We start from the raw sequence: 15,187 nt of genomic DNA, 5'->3' as shown, positions 1-15,187 counted from the left end.
CGAGAACTGTCCTGGGGTAATTTATCAATATGGCAGCACCTCTTTCCGGAGGTCTGGGAGGCACATATAACAGAAGGAACATTTTGAATACATCTCCAAGCAGCAATCCCTCTAGCCTGCAATGCAGGCTGTCTATGGTGGGATCTACAAGATGATATCAAAATTTCCTGAGAATTCTGGGTAGCTAAGACTTAAAAATAACACCCCAGCCCTCTTTCTGTGACAAGCCTTGGAAAAACTGAACAGAGGCTGGGCTGGAGGAAGCTCCATGAGCCATGTCCCAAGGCTAGGTCTGTGAGGAAGTTAGAGAGAGAACAGCCAGTACTAGCTCTTCCTCCTCCTGCTGCCGCCGAGGCTCCTGTTTTCTCAGCCACCTCCAGCAGTTCCTCTTTTCAGCTGTGGCTCGGGTGAGAATTATGGAATTGCTAATATTACCCCAGCCCAGCAGCCAGGGCTTGATGGCTGCTGCCCGGCAGCTCCAGCCCCGAGGGAAGCCAACTGCAATGACAATAAAACAAAGTCCTTGGCAACTGATGGCCTCTCGTCTGCATGCTGGGGCTGACAAACGGGATGTGGAGCCAGCCCTGACTCCAGCTCCTTGGGAAGTCTTGGAGCTGGCCCATTGCCTCCCCAGCATCAGATTCCAAAGGCATTTTTCAGCCCAGCTGGGAAGGCTGTGACAATCTCAACAAGGCTCACTCTATTAACCCTGAGAAATAAGTCTCCAAGCCTCAGTCCAGGGCATCTTCTGGAAGAGAAGCAGATGAGCCTGCCCTGATTTGGCTGGCTTTGTCAATCAACCAACCAACCAAACAGCATTTAGAGAACACTGTTGCATGCAAAGGCATTGCTCAAGACTTACACATTCAATGCATCTTTCTGAAAGCCTACTGTGTGTCAGTCACTGTACTGGGTCCTGGGGATATGTCCATGAACAGAGGAGACAGCCCTGCCTTCTTGGGAGCTCATACTCTGTTGTCAGGAGGGAGATGAGAAACAGAATAAATCAGTAAGTGATACAGTGAATTAGAAAGTAATCAGGTACTCTGGAGGACATTTGAGCAGTTAGGGGATGGGGCATGTAGGAGGCAGGAGTGCATTTGAAATGGGTAGTCAGAGAAGAACTCACTGAGGTGACATTGGAATCAAGACTGGAAGCAGGTGAAGGGTCAAAATGTAAACCCCAAAATGACCTACTCTCTAGAGTTTAGCAGCTCTGTTCACAGCAAAAGGCATGCAAAGCATCAGACTGATAGGTGGGGCATCCCAAGAAGGAAATGACCACAACCCTCTGTGACCCGGGAAGGGGAGTAACCGCAGCCTGGGAACTGCTCCCTGAAAGCACTTCATTGTTTGAAACCTGGGTGAGATGCCTAAGACAGGTGGGAGTTAGTTGGGACCAACAATATGAGGAAAAGGTGTGACTGGGACACACGAGAGCAGAGTAGGGGACATCTGTAGGTGACAGCAGGACCAGGGGCCCACTCTAATGGGTGCAGTCCACGGAAGAGAAATACCTGGGGACGTTTAGCAGGCTGAGCCCATGAGAAGTCTCCCTTCTTCCCACTGAGAAACTTTCAGATCAGTTGATTGTTCTCCAAAGACCAAAAAACCCTGCAAACCAGAGGGTCTCAAACATGCCCGCCCATCAATATCACCTGGTTTTTATTCTGGACCCATCAATCAGAATCTGTGTTTCTAAAAGCCGTCCAGATGGCTCCAAACACCAGTTAGATTTGGGGGCCATTGTTCTGGCCCTACACTATCCTGCTTTTATTGCGTAAATCATTTCAGAGACAACTCAAGTGGTCAGAGAAGACCAGGGGCTTTCCCCACTGAGTAGGGTGGATCTGTTCATATGTCAGTCTCCACTAGGAGACTGTGAACCCCTTGAGGGCAGGAACTGTATCTTACTTTTCTGTATGAAAATGTAGGCCCTGAAATGTAAGAGGCATTGATACATATGTTCTGAACTGAACTGAGCTAAGCCTGGTTCTACCAGGTGCTAGCCATCTGCATGTGGTCCTGACACTTAACCTCCCTAGACCTCAGCCTGCATCTATAAAATGGGTACAGGCCAGGTGTGGTGGCAGGCGCCTGTAATCCCAGCTACTCGGGAGGCTGATGCAGGAGAATCCCTTGAACCCGGGAGGCAGAGGTTGCAGTGAGCTGAGATCAGGCCACTGCACTCCAGCCTGGGTGACAGAGTGAAACTCTGTCTCAAAATAAATAAAAATAAAAAATAAAATGGGTACAATGATTCCTGCCCTTCCTACCTCACAAGATTTCTGAGAGGCCCAAAGTGTGGCAACTTGTATACTTGCAGAAGCAGCTAAACAGTTTCTTTAGGAGTTTCCAGTGGAGAGGAAGCTTGGCACAGATGACCTAAAATAAACCATCTTAAGGCCTTGTTTGACTTTAGAATCTGCCCAATGAGTAGGTTTACCTTCCTGAATTTTTTCTTTTGCTCTAATTAAAACTCACTCATTCATACTGAGCAGAGTCAAATAACAATCTACTTTGTGTCAGACACCATATTTGACAATGGGAACCCACAAACAAGTAAGTTATAGTCCGGAAGGTCACTGAGCACAAATTCGAACTGGGAAGAACAAACACATGGACCAAGAGCGCCGACAGAAGCAAGCAGAGTGAGAATTATGGCCAAATGCTTCACTTCCAGGCCTGAGGTAATGAGCAGAAGAAAATCTCCAAGGTGGAAAGTGTACAGAAAACAGATAGCTCTTTCAGGATCGGCAAGTGAATGACCAGCATGAGGAGTTGGAGCAGAAGATACAGGAGAGAGGTGAGAGAGCATCTGCCTTGAAGATGGCACCCAGTGAGCCCTCTCTCCTGGTATTCATGCCTTTGCACAAGTGCCTTCCATGAGAGTAGACTGGACCTAGTACCTCACTTCTAACAAAGAGACTATGGCAAAAGTGATGAGGTTGCAAAAATGCTGTGGCTTCCTTCTTGGGTGTTCTCTCTTGCTCTCTCATTAGCTCACTCTGACGGGAGCCAGTACCAGGCTGCAAGCTGCTCTGTGGAAAGACCTATGTGTCAAGGAGCTGATATCTCTGGCCCACAGCTAGCGAGGACAAGAGGTGCTCAGTCCAACAGCCAGCAAGGAATGGAATCCTTCCAGCGATCCCGTGAGTGAGCTCAGGCTGGGTCCTCCCTGGACTGAGCCTTCAGATGAGCCCCAACCTAGCTGCCCCCTCAATTGCAGCCTTGTGTGACCCTGAGCTAGGGGACCCAGTTAAGATGTCCCCAGATTCATGATCCATAGAAAGTGTGAAATAATAAATGTTTGTGGTTTTTAGCTCTATTTAGCAATAACTAACCAATATAGGTGGCCATCAGAGTTCTCAAGCATGAGAGGGAAATAAAACCTATTCTTTGACAATGGGGTTGATTGGCAATAAATGCAGGAATCCCAGGAGGAGTGATGGGAACTTGAACAAGGCAGTGGTAGAAAGAACAGAGAGGAATGAACAGAGATATTACAAGGTAATTGGCAAGACTTGGGTTCCAGGAGGCCAGATTGTCCATTCATCTGGTTACTTAAGCCAAAAATCTCAGTTATCACTGATTGCTATTATACTCATATCTCCACATTCAACACACTAGCAAATTCCATCTTCAGCTTCTCCTCCCTCTCCCACAGTCCTGTTCTCCAAATGACAGCCAGATCGTGTCACCTTCCCACTCATAACCCACTGATGACTTTTAACTGCTCCTATAATAAAATCCAAAGTCCTTCCTATGTCCCACAGTCCCTATGCGATGTGGCTTCTGGCCACTTTCTAAGCCTGTGTCTTCCCATTCTTCCCACTCTCTCAGTCCCAGCCAAATAGACTCTTGCTAGCCCCTCTGTTTCGAATTCTCTTCCTGCAGATGCTGCGTTTGCACAGCTCACTCCTTCAGTCCTTTCAGAAATTGCTTCCTGACGGGGGGGCATTTAAACTGAGATCCTGAAGAAAAATCATAGAACTTGCCATCTTAGATGGCTTAGGGAAATTGGCTGCATTCATTCAGAGTCACATCTCCCACTGCAGGACTGGTCGTATTAGGCACAGCAAAAGCTTTCTTGGATGATGCCAGAACTTCAGGGCCTGGGGCCTGATGACCAGAGAGTAATGGGGACATTCTCCTCCTTGAAGGTCTTTGCAGATGTAGAGCATCTTAGGAAGTAGCCCATCACACCTGTCACTGACGTGTGTTTTGTTTTGTTTTGTTTTGTTTTGTTTTGTTTTGTTTTGAGATTGAATCTGGCTCTGTTGTCCAGGCTGGAGTGCAGTGGTGCCATCTCAGCTCACTGCAACCTCCACCTCCCGTGTTCAAGCAACTCTCCTGCCTCGCATCCCAAGTAGCTGGGATTACAGGCAACACCATGCCTGGCTAATTTTTGTATTTTTGGTAGAGATGGGGGTTTCACCATGTTGGCCAGGCTGGTCTCAAACTCCTGGCCTCTAGTGATCCACCCGCGTTGGCCTCCCAAAGTGCTGGGATTACAGGTGTGAGCCACCACACCTGGCCGTGTCACTGCCTCTTTAACTGCCCCAGACACTTCACATCCACCAGTGGGCTTGATCCTCCCTGCAAGGTTGCAGAGAAATATATTCAGATGTTATTTTCACCACTGCCTAGACAGTTGAGGCAACAGAGGCACAGGGAGGTGGAGTGCCCTTTCCTGGGGTTTCTTTTTGTTTTTTTTTGAAACAGGGTCTTGCTCTCTCACCCAGGCTGGAGTGCAGTGGCACAATCATAGCTCACTGCAGCCTTGAGCTCCCAGGCTCAAGCAATCCTCCCACCTAAGCCTCCTGAGTAGCTGGGAGTACAATTGTGTGCCACTACACCAAACTAATTATTATTATTATTTTTAGAGATCAGATCTTACTGGTTGGTCTCGAACTCCCAGACTCAAGGAATCATCCCACTTTGGCCTCCCAAAGCGCTGGGATTACAAGACTGAGCCGTCTGTGCCCAGCCCCTAGGGTTTCTTGATTGCCAGTTAAGTGTACCTCATTATCCTTGGGTCTTCAAAACAATGAGAGCTGGACAGGAAAAGATAAATAAATCATAATAAGAAAATAAGAGACATATAAAAGTGCTGTGTCAATTGCTATTCATTTAATAACTATTTTAGCTTAATATGTTGTGGCTTTGAAGCAGTCATTCATTAAGCTGAATTTCTCTGGCCACCTACACACCATGTGGTCAGGCGCTGTGCTAAGCAGCAGCTATTCACCCTGAGTGCCCAGTATAGGCCAGGGTGTGGCCCGTGTGGCTCCGGGTGGGGCCACTCAGTCTGCAGGGTGGAGGGAGTAGACTTGGAGAGAAGAGGGCATTTGGAGTCAGTTGCCTGGAGTTGGCGAGAACCACAGCCCCCATGGGGCTCTCTGTCGTCTGCCCCATGAAGGGTCTTAGTGCTCTGCAGAGTCACTGCCCCTCCTTATGCTCACACAACCAGTATTGCTCTGGGTTCCTGGGAGGCCTCCTGCAGGGCATAGGACAGTGCCCACCAGCAGAGTCCAGTGATCATCTCTTGGTGATGTAAAATGGCTCCAGGGGTGACCCGGTGAGTCAACAGTGTGTCCCTCCCCACCAGTCTTCTAACTCATCATCTCCCCTACAGGCCACCCACAGTGTGCTAGAAATGTCTGCTCTTTTTCACTTTTTCCCTAAAGACAGAAAGAAAAAAAGAAAAGGAGTTGAAAAAGCACAGGAGCCAGGTAATGCAGCAGGGCGGTGCCAACATGAGGAGCCAGCCAGGGTAGAGGCTCGGCTGGGAGCAGAGGGCTTCAGGGACAAGGGACATTCAGACTCAAGGGCAGTGAGCCCCTCTCCTGTGCTAACATGAGTCTCTCAGACCCCCTCAGCTAGAACTGGAAGGTCCTTTAAACAGCATCTCATCAAACCTTGGTTTCAAGTCAACTGATGTTCAAAGAGGCCATGTTGTAATTAAGCCAGATTTGTTCTGGCCTTAAGAGAATGGAAGAGAAAGTTGAAAAAATAGTTACCTTGGACAGAAAGCCTGAGTTTTACGGCGCTCAACCATATAGTGACACCTAATCATTTACCTATGACTGGTCTATGCCTGGTTTCCTCTAGGCCAGTCTAAGTTCCTTCAGGGCCGGGGCCTTTCCCAAGATTCCTCTTGTGTCATGGATACCCAGGAAATGTTGGCCCACATTAGGTAAACTGAAGGAAAAAAAAAGAATAGCAGATGAAATCCAAGCAGTGAACAGAATAAATGATGAGCAAACAGACACCTCCTAAGTCACCTACAGCTCATTCCTGCTAAGAAGTCAAAGCCAAAATTACAAAGCAGTGTGACCTAGTGGAAAATCACAGAATCAGGAATAATTACAGCAATATTAGTAACAACATCAAGACATGCACATTGTGTAGCACACTATTTTGTCACAGAGCCTCTCCATTGTGGCCAAGAACTGCTGGCCAGGGCAGGTCTGGACCATCTTTACTCTGCCCAGGCCCTAAAGTCTTGCAGTGAGAGGAGTCGTCCCCAGGAAAGTGCCATTCGTTCTTTCCTGCCTGAAGCCCAGGCAATGCCCAACAAACTCAATTTTCACACCTTCCTGGAATGAAACTAGCATTTGTCAGTGCCTGCCCTGTGTTTATCAGGCTCTCCAGGAGGAAGTGAGAAGTTTGCAAAAAGCCTGATCTAAAATTACCATTGATTTTTTGAAGTCACTGTTTCATCCATTTTGAAATTTCAAAAAGCATCCAGAGGGCGCAAGATTTTTTAGCACTCCTCGAACAGGGGCCCAAGCTTGAGTCCGCTCTGCTCAGGGCATGCTCCCCACTCCCGTGTGTCCTTGTAAAGAATGCAGGAGGGCGTGAGCTGGGGTTTCCTTCCTTGGCTATTCTCCCGGCATGGGTAACGTGAATCCTCCAGCTGTATTAGGGAATACTTCCATCTTCCTTTTGTTGTCCCCTGCCCTAGAGAGGAAAGAAAGAAGGGGAGGGACTAACACGACTGAGCAAATAGATCTGCCAGTGACGTGTTAGGCCTTGGCTCACACACACGCATGTATTGGGACAGTTTGTAACTATGATCTTCTGTATTTACACAGCACTTAGCTGTGAGTCATTTCACACCCACCCACAGAGCACAGTGGGCCTCGTAATCCCTCGATGCCTCAGTCTCTTCGTCTGTAAAATGGCCACAATGATACGTGCTGCCCAGGGTTGCTGCAAGGACTGCCAAGGTCAGGGTCTTAAATGCCTGCACCAGGTCAGGCCCAGCCACCCCTTATGGGCTGTAAGATCTTCTTGCCCTTATTTCATACCTGAATCACGGAGACGTGATGTGCCACTGCTGGTTGGTACATTTGAGGTCCCTGACTCCCAGTTGAGGGCCCTTTCCCAGCCCTGCTGTGGGTCCGGCCTGCAATGAGCCAGGTTTGCCCATCCTGAGAGCACAGGAGAATTCTAATAAGAACCAGAGCCCCGACATCCCAGTGCCCCCACACAAACCAACCTGGAAGGCAGTCACCATCAAATTAGGTCAGGCATTTTATTTTCAAACCCAGATTTTATTTGTGAGGTTTGCTTTTCCACGAAGAGGTCTGTTGCAGCACTTGCAATTGCTTTTTTAAGGTGTGGGAATTCTGGCTGGGGCACCAGAGTAACTTCATGATCAAGCACTCTGTGCACAGTCGCTTGGGCTCTGACACCCAGCAAGGGTTCTCCTGCCATTTCTGATGTGTGCTACCAAGCATCTTCTGGTTCCTGATGTTCACACTGGGTGTTCTGTTCCAGGCTGTCATGCCATGGCTGCAAGTCCAGGTGGAGAATGGAGGCCTCTGCTCACCAGTGGTTCCACGCTAACTGATGTGTATGGCAATGACCCACAGCCACAAAACCTCACTCAGTATTCAGCATTGTTCAGTATCAAATGTAGTTATCTTGATCATTTTCTGATTCCTTGAAAATTGGTAAAACTCCATCCGATAGACATGGGAAATTTCTGGTTACTAAAATATAAATTTTTAACTTAAAGAAACTCATTCCCAATGCCACTGATACTGAAATGTCCCCCAGCTCTCTGATCTGGAGTTCATTTTGTTTCTTTCCTTAAATCACTGTCTCCATGGTTCCTTGTAGGTCTATTGGGTGGTCCTTACAAACAGGAAGTTTCCAGATGCCAGAAAATGGTTCTCACTTCATGTCTTGGAATATGTGTGAGAGGCATCCACACAGCCAAAGAGGGCAGCTGGATGTTTCAGTGGGGGTGTTGGCTGGGGTCTAGTTCCAGCCTTGCCACTTTTCTGTGTGGCATTGGGCAAGTCACTTCTCCTCTTCGGGCCTTGGTTTCCTTGTGTGTGGAGTAAGCTGCTTGTTAGAGAGGAAGTCTGGGTAGCCTGCCTGTTTCAAGTCCTTGAGACTTGAGGGATCTCTGAGAACCTGACTCAAGAACCAGAGGGATCCTGGGCAAGTCACTTACTGTCTCAGTGCCCGATTAACAGTGAGATGATAACACAACACCTGCTTTAGGTTTTGTGAGGAGTAAATGGATGAATACATGTAAAGTGTCTGGAACAGCGTCTGGCCCATGGTAAGCAGTCAATTAGTGTCAGCTTGCACTCTGGGTGATTTGACAGCACAGAACGGGACCTCCCTGAGGCGAGTGGTGTGTCTTACTCATCTTTGTGTCCTCAGCACCTGGTGTGGGACCTGGAAGGGGCTGGCTGAAATGAGAGTTGAATTAAAATTCGTGAAGAAACATCCAGCTTCGAAGCAGATCTATGAAGAGGAAGGGAGCATTAAGGGGGGCGGGGGGGGGGGCAGCTATTCTGCGGAGTGACAAATGGATTCCCTGTCCCCAGCCCTTTGAAGTTTGTGTGGCTTGGGGATGGGGGTGGGGGGAGATAGAAAAATCTTCAGCCCCTCCCGTCCCCTTCCCCCCGCCCCCACCCGCTCCTGCGGTGGCCCCGCACAACCCAGCCCATGCCAGTTGCCCCTCGGTCTTCTTTCATCCCATAGTCCAGCCTCAAACTTCAGGAAAACAGTAGTCAAAAAAGAAACAGCCCTTGCCGCCCCTCAGCCCCGGGCCAGCAACCTGAGCTGCAGAAGGAAAGCGGCAATTATGGTTTGGGGTTTCCCCCCTTCCTCTCCAGCTTCTCGACTCACTTTTCATCTTCCTCCTGCCTTTTGAGAGCTCCACATTGAGCTCTACGGGGCTGCGCTCCCAGCGTGGCTGGGGTGGGGGCGCCGCAAAGCCCCCCACCGCCTACGAGAGCCCGGGGTGGAGCGGCGGCCCCCAGGGGACAGGCTGGTGCCCCCTCTGCTAATCCGCAGCCCGCAACTCTGGCCCAGCGCCTGGCAGCTCACCCCTCGCCCAAGGAAATTTATTAGCAGAGGCCGCGGGGAGGGCCGGGTTCCTGAGACTTCATTACTCTTACAAAATATACTATGGGACGTTTACTAGTGTCCCATGAAGTGTGGCCATAAATCAGGGGCTCCAATGCGCTTGTCAGAAGAAATGAGGAAAGTGCGTTTGCTTGTGCCCCCGTGGCCTTGCTGGCCCTGGGAGCATCCTCGTCCCTGATCAGGAAACCTCGGCCACCCGCCTGGCCCTGGGGCTGGGCACAGGGCTGTCCCACATTCGCAACGAAAATGTCATCCAACTTCGAATGCACACATGTCACACACTGAATCTCTCCTGGAAATATTTCCTCTGCCAATTTTATTCTCCCGGCCCCAGGGACCTACAAAACTTCTGTGCAGCACGATCCTGTTTCTAATATATACACATGAAGGAAATACCCCCGAAGGTTAGCAGTGATTCTCGCTTGGTAGAACAATCACAGGTGACTTTTATTAACTTCTTTATACTTTCCCAGATTTTCCACACTCTAAAAAAAAAAAAAAAAAAAAAAAAGTGTGACTTTTTAAAAAAAAGTTTAAAAAACATTTAAAAAATATTACTTTTTTAAAATTTAAAAATCAATCGTGGGAAAATATAAATATGTTTTCTGTTATTTGTAAAAATGTAAAACTATAAACAACCTAAATGTGTAACAATCAGTCCATACTTCCGGGACAGAATATCACATACCCACTTAAAATATTGGTCATGAAGAGGTAGGAAATGCTTATGATTTAATGCTTAGCAAAAAAAAAAAAAAGCAGGCCATTTTTGTATACATATGCTGATTAGTAGTATATAAAAAATATACATAAAGAAATATTGTTGTATTAGGGTATGGGTTTCTGGAATCTTTTATTTTTTCTCTTGTTTTCCAATGTTGTGTAGTGTGGTTAGTCTTTTTGTAATTTTTAAGTGTTTGAAAAGAGAAAAGAAAATGCAAACTGGGTCTTGGCCTCCTGTGCCCCCCTCCCCCATCCCAGCTCAGTACCACACACGGGCTGTCGCCCCACATTAAAACGTGAGGCCCGGGGTGCCGTGGTGGGCTCAGTTCCGTTAGGACAATCTGGAACAATCAGCTCCACCAATGAACTTTTTATGGAGTTTTTGACTTTGAAGCTAAGTAATGAGACTTGGCCCCTGACCAGGCCTTGAAATGTTCAAAGTGGCCTCCCCATGTCAATTAGCTAATCTGAGGCATCTGAGGTAGGCCAGCGGGCAGGCGGGCTGTGAGGCCCTGGTTGATGGAGGATGGGAGAAGTAGGTGTCCCTGCCCAAAGCCAGAAGAAGAGTGTGAGGGTCCTGTTCCAGTCTATGGCCAGATCCGGGGATGGGTCTTTCTGAGACCCTCCCCCAACCCCTTCCTTCTGTCTTACATCTGGGCACAAGTTCAGAGAGGGAGGCAGGTGAAAGACATGGAATTTTCAGGTCTCCGAGTCAGTCTCTACCTAATCAAAGGCGTGCTTCTTTCAGAAAAGAGACTTCTCCTGTTTAAGGGAAACAGGCTGGTCTCGAGCACCCTCTAGCCGGCCAAGATGCCCACTACTAGGAAGTGTCACCCCATGCCTAAGCACAAGCAAGAGGTGCTGCCACTGGTCTCTGTTCAAAGAAAGTCCCCAGGAGTCTTCTAGATGCTGGCTACAAAGAAACTATCCCTCTCCCCCACCCCCAAGAATTTTAAAGTAAATTGACCATCCTCAGCAAAGGGATTCCTCAACCCTAGAAGAGGGGCATGTTTTGCTAGGTTTGGCTTTTGGGGGTTTGGTGGGCTTCTCCCCCTTATTTTTTTTTTGATAAAAAGCCACTCTGTCCTGACCTGGTGGGAGTGGGTGCAGGTGAACCTCTGGCCTACCCCAGATAATCCTTCCAGATAATCACTCCACATTTTGAATGGGTCTCACAGCATTTGGAATTTCAGTGGCTTTTGGTTTTGATTTTTTAAAAAGGGAAGGGAAAAAAACCTTTTGCCTTGAAGCAATGTGTTATCTTGGCAGCTATAAGGAGCCTGGCAATGTTGAGACCTTTACTGGCAGGGCTGAGAAGATGAGCTGGTTGGTTGTGGTGTGTTTAGAAGTTTAAAACAGCAAAAAGACATAGTGAGGGTTTGCAGGAGGGGGGCCTGGGCCTGGGATGGGGGTAGCAAGACCTCCAGATCTGCTCTCCTCTCTACTGTAAATTACAAGCCTGCTTTTTTAAATTTCCTTTCCCAGAACAATGTTATTCATTCAATTCCAAAGTAAACATTGGGCTTAGATACTCAACAGTTTCAGAGAACAAACTGTCCTCGTTGTCAGGGTCTTTACCTGTCAGGGGCCTGATTAAACCCATATATCTTCATGGCAGCCATCAGCAGCCACAGTGGGCTGAGGAGGGACCCCGCACCAGCCCCACCTTCTAGCAGCAGGGCAGCCCCTTGGTGCCAGTCCTGGGCATGCAGGGCTTTCTCTTTCACTGGATGGGTGACAGCATGGTGTCTGTTCAGGGCTCCAGCCTGATCTTGGACCTCTGGGGCAAGGAGGCAGATCTGAGGAAATGCTAAGGGGCTGGAGGGCACCAGGGACAGGGGAAGACAAGGGGAAGGTGGTGTTTGAACTGCCTTCAAAGTGATAGATGTTTGCACTAGAGGGGAGTTGATGTGGGGAGAAATGCAAGCCTCAGGTAGTAAATCATGCAATCCAGTGTCGGTGCTAAGAATATGGAAGGCCATTTCCTTTCTCCTAGGGGAAGGCTGCTTAATTAAGAGATCTCCGGGTACTTGACTTTGCTCATAAATTTTAGAGAGCTGTAAAACTCAGTGTGTGTCTGTCTGTGTGTCTGTATGTGCACATGAGACAAGGAGAGCAGAGTACATCCAGAGCTCTGTTCAGAGTGGCTTTCACGTGACCACTCACCTCAGCCCTTTTGTGACTCAGTTTCCCCATGTCGGGAATGGCAGGAGGCTGCCTCTCACATCCCTGCTTGCAGATAAATATCAGGACACTGACTTGAAAAGCACATGCGCCCTGATTGCTGAATGACTAGAAGGGCGCTGGGGCCCCCACAGGGGGAAAAGGGGAAGTATGACTTTGATCATGTTGCCAGTGTTGGGGCAGGGGTAGGGGGACACACAGCCCAGACCCAGGCTCCAAATGACAGTTGCAGATGTCAGGAGTAACAGCTTCCATCCTTCCCAGTCCGTGCCCCAGGGATGCCCCAGTTTCTCTGGTGAACCTTCCTCAGAAACCCGTGGCTGGGATCTAAAGTTTTCTGCTCTCCTCTAAGGAATATTTAATTTCCATAGTACAGGCTGTTTCCCTTCCAGAAGAACTTGTTTCCCCTCCTGGCTTATCTGATTGTGGGCATCTCCGAGAGCAACTTGTCACCTATCATTTTCCACAGAAGTGAACATTAGCAGTTGTGGAGCTGTGAGTGGGGCTCCTAAGGAGCCCGTGATGTTGACACAGGGGGCTGGGGGGAGAAAGGCAAACTCAATGCAGGAGGCCAAGGAAAGGAAAAGCAGTCGATCCTAGAACAGCACCAGCCAAGTCAAGGTTTTCCTAGTGGAAAGAAGGTACTCTTGTGTGGCACTTTCCATCCATAATGCACCTTAACTCTCCGTAAGGCTTGGTTTCTGCAAGGTCCCAGTGAATGGGTAGGCTGTGATTATGACTTCGTGTTGCAAAAAGGACAGCTCAGCCGAGAAAGGGCAAGTGGCCTGTCCTGGTAGGTCACACTGCCAGAGATCAGTAAATCCAATCCTCAAAACCACTTCTTCCAGGTTCTCATCACGTTGGGTCAGCCAGTATAGGCACAGCACACAGAGAGCTACAGCTCAGAGGGGCTAGGGAGACACCTTGCATCTTCATGTCAGGATCACTCACTAATGGCATGGGAAGACGTTATGTGACAGATGTGTGGGAGGTGCTCTGACTTCTGTGCCTCCAATCAATGCCCTTGACTTAGGCACTATCCATGGTGATGGTGTCCAGCGTCTGGTATGGTTTGGGGGCACTCTAGGCCTGCTTTGTTCTTGTAAGCTCTAGATTTCATTTGATAGTGAGCACTGGTGAGGATCAAATTTGATGATGTCTGTGAACATACAGGCATGAAATGAGCTCTCAAGACACATTGGTTCCATTCTTCCAGAAAATTGGAATATGCATTTGAGCACATTCAACTGGCAGGCCGGACGCCTTGGCTCACGCCTGTAATCCCAGCACTTTGGGAGGCCGAGGTGGGTGGATCACCTGAGGTCAGGAGCTCAAAACCAGCCTGGCCAAGATGGCGAAACTCTGTCTCCACTAAAAATACAAAAATTAGCTGGCCGTGGTGGCACGTGACTGTAATCCCAGCTACTTGGGAGGCTGAGGCAGGAGAATCACTCGAACCCAGGATGGGGAGGTTGCAGTGAGGCGAGATTGCACTACTGCACTCCGGCCTGGGCAACAGAGTAAGACTGTCTCAAAAAAAAAAAAAAAAATGCAACTGGCATGCTGCAGTTCTACCTCAAGTTGAACCTGTTGAGAACCTGTTGAATGCTAGAGCCAGGTTTGTTTATGGGGCTCCTTCCCTCCAAGATGACAATGTCAAAGATATGGAGAGTGGAGATAAGGAAGCAGGGGAGAAGTCTGGTGCTGCAGGAAGTGCTCTGAGGGCTCCAAGGTATTCCAGCCCCTAAGCACGCTCCCCCTGGGTCCATGGTTCCATCAGATCATTGCGGAGATTTTAATTTTTTTCTTATCTATTTTTTTCATAATAAATATGCATTGCTTATATAATACCTGAAATAATAAAATGTTAAGAGAAGATTTACGTTATATGCCCTAGCACATAAGACCCCTATTTCTTTTCCTTGCCACAGTTACTGAGGTGCATTATAAGGTAAATCAACTTTATGAAAACTCCTTTTAAGAGACAAGCCCTTCTGAAGGATTGCTGTTACATGGTTCAGTGAACAAACATATACTGACCATCTCACATGTGTCAGGCACTGTGCCAAGTGCTGGTAACACAGGCATGAGGAAGTCACTCTCCCTGACAGCACCACACAGCTGCACATGTTCCTTGCACCTTCTGCCTCTAGGATGTGTGGGAGACTCAAGACCCACACCAAATTCCTGCCTGGCCAACAAAATGTGGTGGAAAGAGCCCTGGACCAAGGAGTCAGAGAAGGGATGTTGTAGACCTCACTCTGTGTGACTTTGGGAAAACCTCTACCCCTCTCTGGATCTCAGTTTCCCCCTCTGCACAACAAGGGTTTGGCCTATAGAATTCCCAATTTCCCTCCAGCTGTGTGGTCTTGTGATCCTTACCCCCTCTTGCCCAGATCTGGTCCTGGAACCCCCTCATCTTCCATGGAGTACTGACCAAGTCTAGGGTTCCCCTGAGCATCCCTCACTCCACTTGTCTGTGCCAATGACTTGGGTAGTGTGTCTGGCTTTCCTGGCATGGGCTGGGTCTGGGTCTAGAACAAATGGCATTTCCAGAAGGCAAGGGGTGGGCTTGTAGTTGCCCCCCTGCCCCCAGGCCCTCCTTTCTCTCTCCACCCCACCATGCAGAATGAAGGAAGAACCCAGGTGAAAAGCAATATAAAGAAGACCCGAAACACTCCCAACTTTAAAGGAAATATGAATCAAAAAGGCAGAGGAGGAGAGGAGTCCAAAGGCAACACACAGGTCTTTGCCGAGTGTGGAAAAATAGGCCACAAAGTTTCAACCAGACATCATGCCCAGTCTTCTGTATCTGGATGAGCGATGCCTGCTCTGAGCTAATATTATACCCCCTAATATTTAGCACAGTGTCCCTTAGGAT

This window comes from Homo sapiens, chromosome 6 (genome assembly GCF_000001405.40).
Source record: "Homo sapiens chromosome 6, GRCh38.p14 Primary Assembly".
NCBI classification, from domain to species: Eukaryota; Metazoa; Chordata; class Mammalia; order Primates; family Hominidae; genus Homo; species Homo sapiens.
Note: the sequence above shows the minus strand (reverse complement) of the source record.